The 13360-nt window shown below is 38.1% G+C and overlaps 1 protein-coding gene across 1 annotated transcript in view; it reads left to right on the top strand.

Annotated features, from left to right (window-relative positions):
- Window positions 1–13360, top strand: part of PSME4 (proteasome activator subunit 4) — a 106925-nt gene that overhangs the window by 38887 nt on the left and 54678 nt on the right. The window contains exons 10-20 of the mRNA NM_014614.3: window positions 7–272; window positions 3804–3990; window positions 4624–4713; window positions 6084–6148; window positions 6418–6568; window positions 8688–8786; window positions 8989–9058; window positions 9523–9590; window positions 11003–11218; window positions 11757–11914; window positions 12861–12956. Coding sequence (NP_055429.2) covers window positions 7–272; window positions 3804–3990; window positions 4624–4713; window positions 6084–6148; window positions 6418–6568; window positions 8688–8786; window positions 8989–9058; window positions 9523–9590; window positions 11003–11218; window positions 11757–11914; window positions 12861–12956 — 1466 coding nt within the window. The remainder of the gene's footprint in view (window positions 1–6; window positions 273–3803; window positions 3991–4623; window positions 4714–6083; window positions 6149–6417; window positions 6569–8687; window positions 8787–8988; window positions 9059–9522; window positions 9591–11002; window positions 11219–11756; window positions 11915–12860; window positions 12957–13360) is intronic.

The raw sequence follows: 13360 nt of genomic DNA, 5'->3' as shown, positions 1-13360 counted from the left end.
CCCCAGAACAAGTTAATGAAACTACTTCAGCGGTTGCCAAACAGTGTTGTTAGAAGATTGCATCGTGAAAGATACAAGAAGCCCTCTTGGTTAACTCCTGTGCCTGATAGCCACAAGCTTACTGATCAAGATGTTACAGACTTTGTACAATGCATTATTCAGCCTGTCCTCTTGGCTATGTTTAGCAAAACCGGTAGTCTAGAAGCAGCCCAGGCTTTGCAGAATCTTGCACTCATGAGACCTGAATTGGTAATACCCCCTGTACTTGAAAGGTAAGTGGTTAGTGGGAGTCTCAGCCACAGCTAGGTTTTTCTTTTGGTCTGTTCAGCTCGATTCTCTTTTCTCCTCTGTGGCTTCTGTTTTGCTTCTTCGATGCTTATTCCTGTTCCTAGAGGAGAAGCAGGACATTTTAATGTAATGATTGGTAACTTGATAAAGGTTTATTGGAGAGAAAAAAATTGAAATGAAATGGGTAACATACATCTTTTGGATTCTTCACACATTTTAGTTACCAAAATTATATGCTTATGAATTAAGATCTGGCCTTCCTTTTTAGATCGAAATGTTGAGTGTCACTAAGGATTGAGAATATGGCAGTGAAAGTGGTTTTTGGATTTCTTTTATTTCTTAGAATCAGTGGTAGAGAAGAAAATTGTGTTTATTATTTTCATGTATTATATATTCAGGTGTGTTGTTTTTACAGTGTAAGTTTTATTTTATTCATTGTGTTTTGTGTGTTGAAATGGTAAGGAAAACTCTTTACTTGCCTAGCCACTGTCACAGAATAGGCGTGGTATACTTACAAAGAGAGAGACAGCTACTTTTCTTTTTTTTTTGAGATGAAATTTTGCTGTAGTCCCCCAGGCTGGAGTGCAAATCTTGGCTCACCGCAACCTCCGCCTTCCTGGTTCAAGGATTCCCCTGCCTCAGCCTCCTGAGTAGGTGGGATCACAGGCGCCCGCCACCACACCCAGCTAATTTTTGTATTTTTAGTAGAGACGGCGTTTCACCATGTTGGCCAGGCTGGTTTCGAACTCCTGACCTCAGGTGATCCACTCGCCTTGGCCTCCCAAAGTGCTGGGATTGCAGGTGTGAGCCACTGTGCCCGGCCTACTCTTAATTTGAGAGCAATTTTTAAAGTAACTTGTTCAAGAGCAAATTACTTAAGCTTTCTGTTGTACCTCTGATTCTTCCACTATCTGAAGCTTTATGATCTCTTTCTAAATGTTTTTGTCAAATATAGAGGAGGAATGTTAGTTTTTAGAACCCAGAAGGATCTAGCCATTGAGTTCCATAAAAATTTGTCCAAGGTCCCTAGTGGTAGAATTCAGACTATAGCCTATTTTCTGACTTATTGTTGAGACAGAATAAGTGTTGGTCATATTTACTTGGGGAAGGATACCGTGTTCAAGATCTTAACCAAAATGGGCCTCCATTATCTATAATTTTGAGCTGTTGATGCTGCCTTACCTGCCCTCATTGCCATAAATATTCAAGTTAGGCCGTACTTCATTTTCCCAACTTCTCCTATTTTTACATATACATCTTGGGGCATTGAAACTCTTCCAGCTTATAGAACTTAATTAGGAAATGGAGTGGGGGAAGATAGGCAGTTTCCTGTCCGTCTTCAACCCCCAGTATTCTTTGCTTCTTGGCCTCCACAGAGTAGCAGAAGCCAACAGTTAATGTTAGGTTCCCTGATGCTCCCTGGAGAGGAGGGACTTCATCTGTTTGCTTAGCTAACATTTTGAAGTTTGGAGTGTTTTTGATGTTTCTTTAGTTCCCCTTTGCTTTGTTATTTTCAGCTGATTAATTATGAATAGTGAGCTAAATTCTTAGTAGAAAGAACAAAGCTTATAAATAAATAGACCTATCACGTTTTTCTTTAGTCCTAAAATTTTGGACAAATGTAATATCAGCATATTAAGTGATATTGAATGCTTGGCCAAGATAAATATTTAATAGACCAAATTGACAATACAATGACATTTTTTGAGACTTTCAGTTGTAATTTGGTGCTGTTTTGAAGTGGCATCACCTTTTAAAATTTATTATTTATTTATTTATTTATTTATTATTTATTTATTTAGAGACAGACTCTTGCTCTGTTGCCCAGGCTGGAGTGCAGTGACATGATCTCAGCTCACTGCAACCTCCACCTCTCGGGTTCAAGCGATTCTCCTGTCTCAGCCTTCCGAGTAGCTGGGATTACAGGTGTCTGCCACCATGCCCAGCCAATTTTTGTATTTTTAGTAGAGATGGCGTTTCACCATGTTGGTCAGGCTGATCTTGAACTCCTGACCTCAAGCAGTCCGCCTGCCTTGGCCTCCCAAAGTGCTGGGATTACAGGTGTGAGCCACCATGGCTGGCCAAAGATTTTATTTTTAATAAAAGCAAAACTTTTTTAAAAACTAAAAATGTAGAAAAAAATCTTAGACACTTAGTTTTACATCTCCAAGAAAGCTTCTGTTAAAGAGTTTGGTATGTTTTCTCCATTAAAAAAAAAAAAAATAAGCAGCTAGGCTGGCTTATGCCTGTAGTCCCAGGACTTTGGAAGTCTGAGGAAGATGGATTGTTTGAGCTCAGGAATTTGAGACCAGCCTGGGCAACATGGCAAAACTCTGTCACTACAAAAAAAATACAAAAGTTAGCCGGGAGTGGTAACGTTTGCCAGTAGTCCCAGCTACTTGAGAAGCCAAGGCAGGAGGTTTACCTGATCTGGGCAATGTGGAGGCTGCAGTGAGCTGTGATCAGGCCACTGCACTCCAGCCTGGGGCAGAGTAAAACCCTGACTCCAGGGTTGGGGGTGGTCAGGGGAAAGAAAGAGTAGAGTATCTGTAACTTGTTATTCCACTGACTGACCGTTAGATTAGTATAATATAGATTAGGATGGCTGAAATCATGCAGGATCTATCAGTTGATGTTCTTTTGGTTTTTTTTTGAGACAGAGTCTTGCTCTGTCGCCCAGGCTGGAGTGCAGTGGCATAATCTTGGCTCACTGGAACCTCCGCCTCCCAGGTTCAAGCGATCCTCCTGCCTCAGCCACCCGAGTAGCTTGGATTACAGGCATGCACCACCACACCCCGCCAATTTTTGTATTCATGGTAGAGGCAGGGTTTCACCATGTTGGCCAGGCTGGTCTCAAACTCCTGACCTTAGGTGATCTGCCTGCCTTGGCCTCCCAAAGTGCTAGTGTTACAGGTGTGAGCCATCACACCCTGGCCTCTACCAGTTTGTGTTCTTTTTTCACTGTGGAATTGGCATGGAAAGAGTTGGTAAGGTAGCAGGGGATTGGGGACATGTGCAATAAATAATCTGTGTATCTTTCCTTTATTTGTGTACAGTAGTGTCTCCCCTTACTGGTGAGGGATGTGTTTGAAGACCCCCAGTGCATACCTGAAACCATGGATAGTACTGGACCCTATGTATACTGTGTTTTTTCACATGCATGCATACCTGTGATAGTTTAATTCATGAATTAGGCACAGTAAGAGATTAAAAACAATCATAAAATAGAACAATTATAAAAATATATTGTTCAGTGTAATAGAAGTTATGTGAATATGGTCTCTCGTTCTCAGGACACAAATATTTGGTTAACCTTTGTTAACTGAAACTACGGAAACTACAGATAACGGGGCTACTGTAATTGTTAACTTTGATTGCAGATTTTCACTCTGAGTATTTTGCTAACTGTAAGCCTTTAAGTCAAAGTGCAGTTTATGAATTTATTATATTTAATGTATTATGGTATTATGCATATCTGTGATGGAGACTTTAAAAATTCTGTTTTCAAACTGTAGAACATATCCTGCATTAGAGACATTAACAGAACCTCACCAGCTCACAGCTACTTTAAGTTGTGTAATTGGAGTAGCCCGCAGTTTGGTATCAGGAGGCAGATGGTTTCCTGAAGGTCCTACACATATGCTACCTCTGTTGATGAGAGCATTGCCTGGGGTGGATCCAAATGACTTTAGTAAATGCATGGTGAGTATATTGGTGATTATACACTCCGTATTTAGGTAGGAGGCAAAGTAAACTTCTCAGTGACAAAAGGTTGGAGAAGTTTGTGCATAAGCCTAATATAAATATGAAAATAAATGTTGTATAATTTAATTATTAAAGTAACAGTTGTTTATTTATTTATTTATTTTGAGACGGAGTCTTGGTCTGTCACCTAAACTGGAGTGCAGTGGCGCGACCTCGGCTCATTGCACTGTGATCCACCTCCTGGGTTCCAGCAATTCTCCTGCCTCAGCCTCTTGGGTAGCTGGGATTATAGGCACACGCCACCATGCCTGGCTGGGTTTCGTATTTTTAGTAGAGACAGGGTTTCACCATGTTGGCCAGGCTGGTCTCGAACTCCTGGCCTTAAGTGATCCACCCGCCTCAGCCTCCCAAAGTGTTGGGATTACAGGTGTGAGCCACTGCGCTCGGCCGACAGCTAGTTAATTATGAAGAACCTTACAGTGTTCAATTCTAAATGAGGAATACCCAGAAAAACTGTTGTGGGATTTTGATCAAGATAATTTATTGGGGTAATTTATTGTAGTTCATGGTATACTTGTATTTCTGAATTAGAATTATGTAATGTTGAAAATCCTTTGTATGTTTCCACAGATCACATTCCAGTTCATAGCAACATTTTCTACTCTGGTGCCTTTAGTAGATTGTTCATCTGTACTACAAGAAAGAAATGACCTCACAGAAGTAAGGGTATTTTATGGTTATAAAAGGGCTAAGATGTTCTAATTATTATTGCATATGCATAGTAACACTTGACAGTTTAGAAACGACTTTGGAAGTAAAATCACTATTTTGTGACTAGAATGGTACATATGGAGGGCCAGGACATCATTGGCAAGAGAGTCTACAGAGCACCCACCACAGGAGGTGGCTCAAAAATAGGCTGTTTCTATAAACATCTGACATCTGGAGGTGTATTTCAGTTTTATGTCACTTTTCAATGTTTTGTTAAGCAAAAGATGGTGATATTTTATTTTTCTATCATCTTAGGTTAGTAATAAATCTGTCCAAGGGATTGACATTTAATGAAGAAAGATTTTCTTCATTCATTTCTGTCTGGCTCTTTCAAAACTTCTTTCTTTCTTTCTTTCTTTCTTTTTTTTTTGAGATGGAGTCTTGTTATGTCACCCAGGCTGGAGTGCAGTGATGTGATATCGGCTCACTGCAACCTCCACCTCCTGGTTCAAGCAATTCTCCTGCCTCAGCCTCCCGAGTAGCTGGGACTACAGGCATGCACCACCATGCCTGGCTAATTTTTTGTAATTTTAGTAGAGATGGGGTTTCATCATGTTGGCCAGGCTGGTCTCGAACTCCTGGCCTCAAGTAATCTGCCCGCCTTGACCTCCCAAATGCTGAGATTACAGATGTGAGCCACTGTACCCAGCCCCCAGAACTATTTTCTTTATTGCAAGCATGTTGCCCAGGCTGGAGTGCAGTAGTGCCATCTTGGCTCACTGCAGCCTCTGCCTCCTGGGTTCAAGTGGTTCTTGTGCCTTAGCCTCCCGGGTAGCTGGGATTACAGGCGTGTGCCAACATGCCTGGCTAATTGTGTATATGTGTATTTTTAGTAGCGATGGGGTTTTGCCATGTTGGCCAGACTGGTCTTGAACTCTTGACCTCAAGTGATTCGCTTGCCTCGGCCTCCCAAAGTGCTAGGATTACAGGCATGAGCCACAGTGTCTGGCTAGCTACCGTGCCCAGTCGCGAGCATGTTATTGTTTATATTTTTCTGGACATTCAGGTAGTGAGAGACTAGACTTTGCAAAAATCAGCAGTTTGAAAACTGAATTTATAATAAAGATAGCTGCTTGACTTCTGTATTTGGCCCTTGTAAAATAACATTAATTTCTTCTTTCTTTGGTTCCTAGAAAGTAGTAGATGAAGTTGTTCTAAATTGAAAGTAGTAGATGAAGTCTAGCATGGTGCTGTTTCTCATAGTACCCAATATAATGGTTTAGTGTGGATACATTTGGCAGGCAATAATTGAGTTTTGTTAGTTCAGGAAAAAAAAACAAAGGCTATATGTAATCTTTCTCCATATTGGGATATTATAGGTGGAACGAGAACTTTGTTCAGCCACAGCTGAATTTGAGGATTTCGTCTTACAGTTTATGGACAGGTGAGCTTGTAACCCACACCAACGTTTAGCTGAAATTCTAGAAAATGACTCTTCTATCCCAGAAAGTTTAGTTTATTTCTGCATTATAACCTTTATTTAGCTACTACTGGTGCTCCTGAAGTTATAAAAGGATAATCGATTTGTGAACCACGTAGAAATTAAGTAGCTATCACTTGAATAATTAGGACAATAGAGAGTTACCTGATGACCACCAAAAATGTCAAACCAGATTTTAGTTGCTGAAATTATGCTTTGTTTGGATTATTTAGATGTTTTGGACTTATAGAAAGTAGCACATTGGAGCAAACAAGAGAAGAGACAGAAACTGAGAAAATGACACACTTGGAGAGTTTGGTCGAATTAGGTCTGTCTTCTACGTTTAGTACAATCCTCACCCAATGTTCCAAAGAAATATTTATGGTAAGAACATTGCTGCAAAAAATAAACTTCCAGCTTTTAAGTTTCATTTGATGTTTTAAAATTGACTTCAAGTTACTTTGTGTATATCATGCAGTTTATCATTTACATTCATACTAAAGTTTTAAAGAAATGTACAGTTGCTCATTATTTGCAAATTTCGTATTTGCAAATTTACCTGTTTGCTCTAACTATTTGCAACCTGAGAATCAAGCTTTTGCGACTGACAAAAATTCAGTTACTTAAATTTGATCTCACATATGCCATGTGTTCTCAGCTGAGAGCAAACGAGGCACTCTGCCGTCTTATATCCAGCTCCACTTAAACAACTGTCCCCTTTGCGATCTATTTAATGCCACTTTTTTACATTTTTTTGCTTCTTATTGGTGATTCTGCTGTTTAAAAATGTCAAAAATGGCTCCCAAGAGTTTATTGTTTAAAGTGGTTGAGGGTTCCTAAGCATAAGAGAGTTGTGCTGTGCCTAATGGAAAAAACACTGTGCTAGGTAAGCGTCAACAGGCATGAGTTATGTTGCTGTTGACTGCGGATTAAATGTTAGTGAATCAACAATATGTATTAAATAAGTTGTCTGTAAACAGAATCACACTTAGGATTATGTATTGATCAGTTGATGAAAATGTTGTCACCATAGGTTCACAGGAACATAATCCTGTATTTCCCCTGGGAGCAATGGTTCAGTATTTGCTAGTTCAGTGGTCACAGCAAATTTATAGAACATGACTACCATGAACAACAAGAAACAACTGTCGCAGGGGGGATAGCATTAGGAGAGATACCTAATGTAAGTGACGAGTTAATGGGTGCAGCACAGGAACATGGCACATGTATACATATGTAACAAACCTGCATGTTGTGCACATGTACCCTAGAACTTAAAGTATAATAAATAAAAAAAAGAAACAACTGTATTTTTTAATTTTACAATTAAAAACAGTTACTCAGCTGAGTTTTAGAAATTGCTTATGACATCACTCCCATGATAGAAATTAAATCCTAAGACTAACTGATGGATTAGAAGTAGTTATCTTCATAAGACATTCAGTAAGCATTCACTAATTCAATATTGGTTGGTACCTATTATTTGTAATGTGGTACCTATTATCTGTAGCCTTTAAGACTACACTTTATTTTCATTTCTGTTTCTTCTCCCATCATCTGTAATTATCACTGTTAAATATGTTAATCCTAGAAGCCAAACTGCCTTATAGCTGTGTGAAATAAATACTATGATTATGTTAGTATAAAGAAATGAACACAAATCATCTCTTATTTAACCAAAAAGAGTTGTTTATACTTTTCAGTATTGTTAACCCAGGTATAGAACTCATTCTTCCATTGAGCAAGTAAATTAAAGTTTTGTGACATGACTGTAAAATAAACAGACTGCTTCAGTTCTTTTAGGGTAAGGATAGATGTCTAGTTTGTAGTTGTCAGGATGACAAATTGTATTAGGTATTCCAAAAAATTCCCTTTGTTATATTCAATTAGCCAGAAAGACAATTAAATTGCATTTGCTTCCACCAGGTATAATTTTATGTGTAGGGTTTCTGTGGCAAGTGAAATCTTGTACCTCAATTTTTTTTTTTTTTTTTTTTTTTTTTTTTTTTGTTAACTCTGTCACCTGGGCTGGAGTGCAGTGTCGCGATCTCGGCTCACTGCAACCTCCACCTCCCGGGTTCAAGCAATTCGCATGCCTCAGCCTCCCGAGCAGCTGGGACTACAGGCATGCGCCACCATGCCTGGTCAATTTTTGCATTTTTAGTGGAGACAGGGTTTCGCCATGTTGGCCAGGCTGGTCTTGAGCTCCTGATGTCAAGTGATGCTCCTGCCTCAGCCTCCCAAAGTGCTAAAATTACAGGTGTGAGCCACCACATCCAGCCAGTACCTAAAATATTTTGTTCAAGTTAGGATCGTGGGCAAAGATTGTTCTTAGACCTGAATGTAACATCATTAAACAAATTCTTATAAAATCAGATGGTTAAAAATTGCCTATGGGCTTATTTTTGGAATTGTCTAAATATATTTATCATTTTCTTTTATGTTCTGTAAGATGTTTAATTTTCTTAAAAAATGCTCATTAAACATTTTCATATCTTAACAGGTGGCCCTTCAGAAGGTTTTTAATTTTTCTACTTCACATATATTTGAAACAAGAGTAGCAGGTCGCATGGTGGCAGACATGTGCCGCGCTGCTGTAAAGGTGAGTTTATTTTTTTGAACTGATGTATTAATGACTCAACAATCAACTAGTTTATATGGTTAATTATTAGAGGTGCTTCTATGCTTAAAATGCATAGTTCTTTCAGTAGCTGCTTATTTACAGCCTTTTACTGCCACTGAAAATATAATCTTGTATATATTTGCCTTTCAAAAAAGCCTTACTTATACAAATACATTTTCAGTGCTGCCCAGAAGAATCTTTGAAGCTCTTTGTTCCCCACTGCTGCAGTGTTATAACTCAGCTTACAATGAGTAAGTCATAAGGTCATTATTCTCTCTTTACAATTTTGGATAAGTTTTTTTCTTGGTTTCTAAAACTCTGTTAATGACAACAGATTCCTTTAGCTTCACAATATTTTGATTGGCAATTTGGGGAAAATTTGTCTCCAAAAAAGATATCATCCAGGTTGGCAGTAGCTTAAAAATGTTACTTTATTAATATTCTTATACAACCACCATTCAGAGGTTACCTTCAAAAATATCAGTTATTTTGTGAGATATAGAGGGGCAGAAGTCTTGGTTGGTGTGTTTATTTTCTTGAAAATTCTGTTTCTACCTCCTTTTGGAACAAGCTCAGCTTCATGAAGAAGAAATAAAAAGTCTTCCTAAAAGAGGTTTTCCTCAGCTATTGGAAATATTAAATAGAAGTATTTTAAAATGCTATATTTAGTTGAATGCATAGGTTTTTCCCCCTAATAGTATTTTGCTGTTTTTAGATGATGATGTATTAAATGATGAAGAGCTAGACAAGGAATTACTATGGAATCTTCAACTTTTGTCTGAGGTATTGTAAATCTTTGGAATAAGAAACATGACTGTGAAAACACTGACTTGCTTTTAGGATTTAGCTCTTTCTGACAAAATGACTTTAAAACATATGAAAAGTCAGAGTTTTGGAAATTTGATGAGGCTTCAGAAGATCAGAATATGTCATACTCTTATTGTCAAAGGAGTGGTGTAGTTGATCACTGCATGTTCAGCCATCTACTTAGTTTTACCAGTTAATTCTAATATGGGTAACTCATTAATTGAAAAAGTTGATCAGATTTGGGAATTTTTTTGGTCTACACTTTAAATTTGGCCATCAATCAAACTTCAGTTTTCTTTTCTTTTCTTTTCTTTTCTTTTTTCTTCTTTTTGTCTCACTATCGCCCACGCTGGAGTGCAGTGGTGCAATCTCGGCTCACTGCAAACTCCGCCTCCCAGCTTCACGCCATTCTCCTGCCTCAGCCTCCCAAGTAGCTGGGACTACAGGCATCCGCCACCACGCCCGGCTAATTTTTTGTATTTTTAGTAGAGACGGGGTTTCACTGTGTTAGCCAGAATGGTCTCAATGTCCTGACCTCGTGATCCGCCTGCCTCAGCCTCCCAAAGTGCTGGGGTTACAGGTGTGAGCCACCGCGCCTGGCCCAAACTTCAGTTTTCTTTTTTTTGAGACGGAGTCTCGCTCTGTCGCCCAGGCTGGAGTGCAGTGGCACGATCTCGGCTCACTGCAAGCTCCGCCTCCCGGGTTCACGCCATTCTCCTGCCTCAGCCTCCCAAGTAGCTGGGACTACAGGCGCCCGCCACTACGCCCGGCTAATTTTTTGTATTTTTAGTAGAGACGGGGTTTCACCGTTTTAGCCGGGATGGTCTCGATCTCCTGACCTCGTGATCCGCCCGCCTCGGCCTCCCAAAGTGCTGGGATTACAGGCGTGAGCCACCGCGCCCGGCCAACTTCAGTTTTCTTTATCATTTTTTTCAGAAGTTTAATTAGGGCCAGGCGTGGTGGCTCACACCTGTAATCCCAGCACTTTGGGAGGCCGAGGCGGGCGGATCACTAGGTCAGGAGTTAGAGACCATCCTGGCCAACATGGTGAAACCTTGTCTCTACTAAAAATACAAAAATTATCTGGGCATGGTGGCGTGTACCTGTAATTCCAGCTACTTGGGAGGCTGAGGCAGGAGAATTGCTTGAATAGAATAGACTCTTTTGAAAGGGATGTTACTATGGTGCATGAAAGCTTAAGCTCAGAAAATGTGTTTGATTTCAAAAAACAATTAATTATTAGAATGCAGTTAAAGTGACAATCCTAAAATTAATTAAAGTCATTTAGAGAAACACTAGGTTAGTGGCCAAACATTGAACTTTGCATTAATGATTGGTTCTTGTTCTTTTAACCAAAATATCTTCAACTATTTTTTCCCTCCTTTTAGATTACTCGAGTGGATGGAAGGAAGTTGCTTCTTTATAGGGAGCAGCTTGTAAAGATTCTCCAAAGAACCCTACATTTAACCTGTAAGCAGGGTTACACTCTGTCTTGTAACCTTTTGCATCATCTTCTCCGTTCTACCACACTTATCTACCCTACAGAATACTGCAGTGTGCCAGGTGGCTTTGACAAGCCTCCTTCTGAATACTTTCCTATCAAGGCAAGCATTTTCAGTACTTTAGGATTCAAGAATATGTTGATTTTTTGTTTTAAGGGATTCAAAGTGTTATTTTTTCTTGCATATGTTAGTTTTTTACTTTTAAGATAGATTATTGAAACTATTATTGGAATATGTGAAACTTGTGCTGTCTCACTTTGCATGGAACTGAAACTCTAGTTTTCTTTCCTATTGATATGTGAAACAACTTCGTATATATTCCTTATCTAATGTCTATAGTTCAATATAATTTTATTGCTAAACTAAGCCTCACTTAAACTCATCATCACTCTTACAGTATCACTCTTAGAGCAAACTCATATTATAATGAGTACTCTTCGGGGAGACTTTTTTCAGGAGTGATAACGAAGAGGCAGTAAGATGTTGTTTTCATGCTACTTTTTTGTATATCATTTGCTACCTTAGGTTTGGATTATGTGTACATTTTCTTTTAAATTTTAAAAATTGTGTATATGTATGTGGGTTTGTTGTTGTTGTTTTTAATTTCTCAACTTGCTGAGTAGATGCTGTTCTCTTCTAGGACTGGGGCAAACCCGGGGACTTGTGGAATCTGGGAATCCAGTGGCATGTTCCTTCTTCAGAAGAAGTGTCTTTTGCCTTTTATCTTTTGGACTCCTTTCTTCAGCCTGAGCTCGTCAAACTCCAGCATTGTGGGGATGGAAAACTTGAAATGTCTAGGTTGGTTTTATTTTATAATTAGAGTTATTCAGTTGCAGACTAAAGAAGTCTTTTTTGGCTTTATCTGTGGCATATCTCATGTATTAATTTTCAATTGTGTTTTGAAAATCTGCTATACATGTACTTAGAAAATCATTTAATATAATGTTGTATAACAGAAAATTTAACAACATTTAAACATTTTAAACCCAAAAATTGTGGGTTTCTTTTTCTAATTTTTTTTATTACCTTCTACTTAGCAATTTCACTTGTCTTTTGGAAGGTGTGTGTAGATATGCCTCCTTTGAAAGGAATGCCTGTTTTCCTAGACTCAGCTAAGATTTTATTGGGTTCTCAAAATTTTATTTTAAGAATTATTTTTATGAGATTTTTTTTTCCCTCTCCCACAGGTATTTAACAAGAAATAAGTATTTGAAACCATTAGACTTTCATAGTTTGAAAGTTTCTAAAATAATAGCAAGAAAATTAATGTATCAAACACCACAAATTTTTCATAAGCAGATTTAAGAATGCACTTGGAGAAAGAAGTGTGACTGACTAACATCAACTCTGTCGTACTCTGAACTGCTTTTTGGAAGTAAATGTTTAGTCCCATTTTTAAAAGATGGAATAAGCTGGAAGATCTTCTGTAGCATTATTTCCTCTTTTTGTTAGTGGCAGTGGTCTTTGGTAAAGGGATGCTTAAATTAACAGTTGTTTCACAAAGGGCAGTTAATTATTGTTACTTGTGATTTACTTAGAGCCTGTTTAAATGTAAGCAGGCATAGTGTTAGCAATAAATATATATTTAATTGTTCTTCACTGTTAAGTTGGTAAACTGAAGACATTTGCTATTTCTTTACCTTAATCATTTATATCCCCACGTGAGAAAACTTCTGTGCTAGGCTCTAGCAGGCTTATTAAATAGGGATTTGGAAATATGAAAATGTCTTTTTTTTTTTTCTAGAGATGATATTCTACAGAGTCTGACTATAGTGCACAACTGTTTAATTGGCTCTGGAAACCTCCTACCTCCGTTGAAAGGAGAGCCAGTTACTAACTTGTAAGTAAAAATAACTGTTTTCCACTTAACATATATTTTAAGTCTTAGTCACTTAATGAGTTATTGGTTTGTTGTTGTTATTGCTTTTATTTCTGTATCACTTTAACCTTTTTATTTGTCACTGTTAAGGTCAAAAATACCAGAGGTACAATTTAGATTTATAAACCTGAAGGCTTTATTCAGATTTTCACATGGTACCAGGATAGAATAACTTTAGGTATTAATTTTAAAATATCAAATGTGGAGATATTAAGTTAGTCTCTTAGTTTACTGAGTTAATTAAGATAAATGCTGTTCTTTTAAAAAGGAAAAATACTGCTTTGTTTTGACTGTAGCAAATGTTGATTCAGAATTTTGTAGCAAAAAACTTTAAAAAAAAAGATTTCTTCAATCTTATTCATTAT

Source organism: Homo sapiens, chromosome 2, assembly GCF_000001405.40.
Source record: "Homo sapiens chromosome 2, GRCh38.p14 Primary Assembly".
Taxonomy (NCBI): Eukaryota; Metazoa; Chordata; class Mammalia; order Primates; family Hominidae; genus Homo; species Homo sapiens.
The sequence above is the reverse complement of the archived record's forward strand: the minus strand, read 5'-3'. Positions and strand labels throughout refer to the sequence as shown.